The sequence below is a fragment of the Homo sapiens genome, chromosome 10, assembly GCF_000001405.40.
Source record: "Homo sapiens chromosome 10, GRCh38.p14 Primary Assembly".
In the NCBI taxonomy this organism is placed as follows: Eukaryota; Metazoa; Chordata; class Mammalia; order Primates; family Hominidae; genus Homo; species Homo sapiens.
The window spans coordinates 112,418,566-112,424,411 of record NC_000010.11 but is presented as its reverse complement, the minus strand read 5'-3'; the positions used below and the strand labels follow the sequence as shown (position 1 = coordinate 112,424,411).

The following is a 5,846-nucleotide window of genomic DNA, read 5'->3' as shown; positions in this document are numbered from 1 at the left end:
GTTACATTGTCAAGCATTCCTTAAATCTCACTTAAATCTTAAATATTGATTGAGCAAGAAAGGAGTTTTAAGTTCTAGTGACATTCCCACTTCCCCAGCACATAGTTAAGACAAAACTTTTGAGAGGGAAGATCTTTTGGGAAATCCCATCACTGCCCTTGCAATAATTTCCTTTCTTCTTAGGAAAACTAATAGCAACTACTGCTAATTATCAAGCTATGCTAAAAATATGTCTCTGTATCTTCCACAGAAAGGGGCTGTGAAGGTCAATGAGAGACAAACACTAGCCTCTGCAAACACTTGATTTAGAAATCCTTCTTCCTTGTTTTGATATGCCTGTGAATTAATAGGGAGGATATTTATCCCAAGAAACTCATAAGAGGCAAAAGCTGTGGACCAACGGCATTATCAAACCAAAGTTTTTTGGGTTTTTGTTTTGTTTTGTTTTGGTAGACACAGAGTCTTGCTATGTTGCTCAGGCTGGTCTCAAACTCCTGGCCTCAAACAATTCTCCCTCCTCAGTCTCCTAAAGTGTTAGGATTATAGGCGTGAGCTGCCACACTTGGCTTCAAACCACAACTTCTGCCTCAAGAAAAGTTAAGGGGGAAAAAAAAAGGACAGAGTAGTACATCTCCCTTCCCCTTTCCTAGAGAAGTCACCTAATTTTTCCCTGGCTGGTAGCAAATTTATTCCATTGCAGGGGACCCATGCCAACTCTGATGTGCAGGTCTACCTGACCTGTTAAAGAATCCCACCTTCAGTTTGGGTCTAAAAACAGTGCTAGGATCACTGACTTACTGCTTGCTGGTTGTATATTCGATAAGGAATAAGGCAAGAAGAAAACACTTCAACTGGTCTACATCTTGGTGTCTTCTGTAACAGTGTGATCAAAATACCAAAAGTACTCTGGCAGTACTTCTGGTGTGGTAGCTTATACCAGCAATCCCAGAACTTTGGGAGGTCAAGGCAAGAGGATTGCTTGAGGCCAGGAGTTTGAGTCTATCCTGGTCAACTCAGCGAGACCCCATCTCTATAAAAATTTTTTTTTAAGAAAGACTTTCTAGCTTTGGCAGCTCCTATTCACACGTTAAATTACTTTCTCAGAATTTTATATTGTTGATCCATGGAAGAGCTGCAACCAGAACACAAATCTCATGACTTCCAGCCTATATATATATATATATATATATTTTTTTTTTTTTTTTTTTTTTTTTTTTTTTTTTTGAGACAGAGACTCGCTCTGTCCCCCAGGCTGGAGTGCAGTGGTGTGATCTTGGCTCACTGCAAGCTCCGCCTCCTGGGTTCAAGCCATTCTCCTGCCTCAGCCTCCCGAGTAGCTGGAACTACAGGCGCCCACCACCACGCCCAGCTAATTTTTTGTATTTTTAGTAGAGACGGGGTTTCACCGTGTTAGCCAGGATGGTCTCGATCTCCTGACCTTGTGATCCGCCCGCCTCGGCCTCCCAAAGTGCTGGGATTACAGGTGTGAGCCACCATGCCCAGCCTTTTTTTAACTTAACCTAGATTCTTTCAATTGTATGTTCTTTTTTTTTTTTTTTTGAGACAGAGTCTCTGTCACCCAGGCTGGAGTGCAGTGGCACAATCTTGGCTCACTGCAACCTCTATCTCCTGGGTTCAAGCGATTCTCCTGCCTCAGCCTCCCAAGTAGGTGGGATTACAGGTGCCCGTTACCATGCCCAGCTAATTTTTGTATTTTTAGTAGAGACGGAGTTTCACCATGTTGGCCAGGCTGGTCTTGAACTCCTGACCTCAGGTGATCCACCACCTCAGTCTGTATGTTCTTCTCTGGATAGTATGAGGAAGTCATAAGCCAGGTAGGGTACAAACCTAATCCCCTCCAGCTGCCTCAGCTGATTAACCTACTTGCATTTCTGCACCTCTTGCTATAAGCAGATTGTTCTTCTCAGTCCATTAGCATAGACTTCCAGGAGTTCTGATGATATACCTACCGGGAGCCAGCGACCAATGTCTCCTGTGTGAAGCCAGCCATCACTGTCCAGGGCTTCCTGTGTCTTCTCAGGGTCCTTCAGGTATCCTTTGAACACGTTTGTACCCTTGATGCAGACCTGCACAGCAGACATACAAGGCGGTGACAATAGCAAAGGCTGCTCCTCCCAGCGTGGGCAGTTTATGAAACACCTGCTCCCCTTAAATCATTTGATGGCTTCCACTACACTGTGAAGAGCACCAGATCTAAGTCTCCACTATAGGGGATAGGAAAGTGAAGTTCAGAATGCTTAATTCTTTGCTAACAATCTCAAAGGGGCCAAATCCAAGTTTGCTTACAATTATTTGCTCTTTCTGATATAAACCTCCCCACCATGACTGTCTGACCACAGGGCATGACCTACCCACCTCTCCTTCATTATTCACTGTAAAGTAGTTCATGTCAGCCACATCTTCCAGCTTCACGTAATTGCAAGCCAGGGGCACCCCAACGTGACCTAGAACATACCGTGCTGAATTAGCTGAGAAACTCTTGCATGGTGATAATTCCAGGCACATTTCTAAGATATTTATGAATTGACTCTAGAAGAGGAAGACTGAAAAATCACCTGGCACCAATGCAGACTAGCCAAGATAGGCAGGCCTGGACCCAAAACTTGAATTTTGCATTTGCCACATTAGTCCAGAGAACTGAAGTTATCTAAACTCCAAAGTCCTAGTTCAGTTAGAACCTTTCTCCCAACCATGGCACCTCCTGCCCAGCAGATGGAGGACTTACCTGATGTCCAGTCCCCAGGTAATGTAAATGTACAGCCACCTGTGCATTCTGTTTGACCATAAGCTTCATACACCTGGGAAACCAAAGAAGAGCTTTTAGACTTACTCAAGATAAAGTGTGAGCTGGCCACGTGCTATGGTCAAGACACGAGGAAAGCAAGGTCTCTAAGGGTTCGAGACCACTTAGTGTCTTAAAACCTTGAACTTGGAGGGGGCGGTGGCTCATGCCTGTAATCCCAGCACTTTGGGAGGCCGAGGCGGGAGGATCACCTGAGATCAGGAGTTTGAGACCAGCCTGGCCAACATGGTGAAACCCCATCTCTACAAAAACACAAAAAAAATTAGCTGGGCATGATGGCAGGTGTCTGTAATCCCAGCTACTTGAGAGGCTGAGGTGGGAGAATCTCTTGAACCTGGGAGGCAGAGGTTGCAGTGAGCTGAAATCACGCCATTGTACTCCAGCCTGGGTGACAGAGCGAGACTCCGTCTCAAAAAACAAACAAACAAACAAACGAACAAACAAAAAACCTTGAACTCATACCCAAGCTGCAAAGTATTTACTACCAAGCCTTCTGGCCATTCAGAAACCAAAAGGGTCTGGAAATAGACCAAAGCATAGAACTTTATATGAAAATGCAGCATTTTGGCCAGGCATGGTGGCTCATGCTTGTAATCCCAGCACTTTGGGAAGCCAAGGCGGGAGGATCACCTGAGGTCATGAGTTCGAGACCAGCCTGACCAACATGGTGAAACCCCATCTCTACTAAAAATACAAAAATTAGCCGGGCCTGGTGGCACATGCCTGTAATTCCAGCCACTCAGGAGGCTAAGGCAGGAGAATTGCTTGAACCCAGGAGGCGGAGGTTGCAGTAAGCCGAGATTGTGCCATTGCACTCCAGCCTGGGTGACACAGTGAGCGAGACTACATCTCAAAAGAAAAAAAAAAGAAAAAAAAGAAAAGAAAATGCAGCATTTCAAGTAGGTGGGAACATGTAAGTTATTCACTAAGTGGTGTGCAACCCAATAGCAATTGAACTTGACCCTGAGCAATGGAGCATCACTGAAGGAACTGAAGAAGGGGAGTAGTATTTTTTAAGGGAAATAGCCCCCACTATGATATAAAACAAGGGTGGGCAAACTTTATCTGTACAGGCCAAGATAGTAAATATTTTCCACTTTGTGAGCCATCTGGTATCTGACTCAAAACTTGACTCTGCCAAAATAGCACAAAAGCAGCCACAGTCCATATATAAATGGATGGACATAGCTGTATTTGAATAATATTTTTAAAATAAAAACCAGCTGCAGACTAGTTTTAGCCAGTGCTACAATTTGCCAATCCTTGGTATAGAAGATAATCTTGACTGGAGAGAGGCTGGGGGCAGGAAACAAGTTCAAGGGCTGCTGCAATGGGGGGTGTGGCCTGTGATAGGCAGAGTTGGGAGAGAGAGGAAGGCTTAGAGAAGACATTTCGGGAAGGAGTTAGCAACAGGACCTGCTGATCTATTGGTTTTAGGGGCTTAAGGAAAGGACAGTATTAAAAATGGCTAAGAGGATGCTAATTTGAAGGACCTCAGGCCTTGGCATCATTCTGGAGTCTCTTTTGATTGTGGTTATACAGATAGGGGACTCATGAGGAAAAGTCTATGCCTGTTTTGTTCATGCTCTGCATGGTTGGTTGAATGAATGAACTAATTATCCATCTGGGTGAAAATTGAGACAATATGCATGGCCAAGCACTTGGACAAATTTCAGGTGGAACTGAGACTTAAAAGGAAAAAATGGAAAATGGTAAGTTTGCCAGAAAATAAGGGTGAAACAGTCTTATGAAATATTGGGGGTTAGGAAGTCCTGTCTAAGCAGTTTAAAACCTACAAATAGAAAAGATTATTTAGTTTGACTATAAAAACATTGGAAATTTTTATATGGCAATACACAGGGCAAAAATGATGAGACCAGGAAAAATGTTTCCAACATGACAAAAGTTAATATTACAGGTTGACTATTCTAATCCAAATGTTTGAAATCCAAAATGTTCCAAAATCCAAAACTTTTTGAGTGCCAACATGATGTTCCAAGGAAATGCTTTTTGGAGCATTTCAGATTTTGGATTTTCAGATTCAGAATGCTCAACTGTTTTATAATGCAAACATTACAAAATTGGAAAAAAATGCAAAATTCAAAACACTTTTAGTCCCAAGCATTTCAAATAGGGAGATACTCAACCTGTATTACTCTGTGAAGAACTCTTAGAAATATAAAAAAGGACCAAATTATCTTTTGCCTGTTTTTCTATAAGGAAGTAATAGAATAATTCATGGATAAAATATACATGTCAATAAGCAATAGAAAGATGTTTGGTGTAAATAAAAGAAACAAAACTGTAATAAGATTTTTCATTTATCTGATTAGCTAATATCTGAATGACTGATAAAGTCTGTCACTGGCAAGAGCATGGGCAAATAAGGCCTTGTATACTTGCAGAAATGTGCAAAAAAGATCTTTCTGGAAGAAAGTTTGATAATATACATTATTACACACACACACACACACACACACACACAGATACATTGTGTGTATTACTTTGACCCAATAATCCCTTCTTGCGTGGATTTATTCTAGATTATTAATTGATTATAACAATGAAAAATATCATAAGCAACTCAAGTGTCCATTAATAGGAGATTAGTTATTTGGGTACGGTTGACCCTTGCACAACACAAGTTTGTATGGCACAGCTCCACTGATAGGTGGATTTTCTTCTGTCTGTGCTGCCCCTGAGATAGCAAAACCAACCCCTCCTCTTCTTCCTCCTCAGCCTACTCAACATGAAGACAGTGAGGATGAAGACCTTTATGATGATCCATTTCCACTTAATGAATAGTAAATATGTTTTCTCTTCCTTATGATTTCTTAAATAACATTTTCTTTTTTCTAGCTTACTTTATTGTAAGAATACAGTATATAATACATATACAAAATATGTGTTGATTAATTACATTATTGGTAAGGCTTCTAGTCAATAGTAGTCTACTAGTAGTTAAGTTTTTGGGGAGTCAAGTATTTTTTTTATTTTTATTTTTTTGAGATGGAGTCTTGCT

At 41.6% G+C, this 5,846-nt stretch overlaps 1 protein-coding gene across 4 annotated transcripts in view; it reads right to left on the bottom strand.

Annotated features, from left to right (window-relative positions):
* Positions 1–5,846, bottom strand: part of ACSL5 (acyl-CoA synthetase long chain family member 5) — a 54,261-nt gene that overhangs the window by 3,965 nt on the left and 44,450 nt on the right. For all 4 annotated transcript variants that reach the window (NM_203379.2, NM_203380.2, NM_016234.4 and 1 more), the window contains exons 15-17: positions 2,747–2,819; positions 2,377–2,465; positions 1,971–2,087 (exon numbers count right to left, since the gene is read on the bottom strand). In NM_203379.2, coding sequence (NP_976313.1) covers positions 1,971–2,087; positions 2,377–2,465; positions 2,747–2,819 — 279 coding nt within the window. The remainder of the gene's footprint in view (positions 1–1,970; positions 2,088–2,376; positions 2,466–2,746; positions 2,820–5,846) is intronic.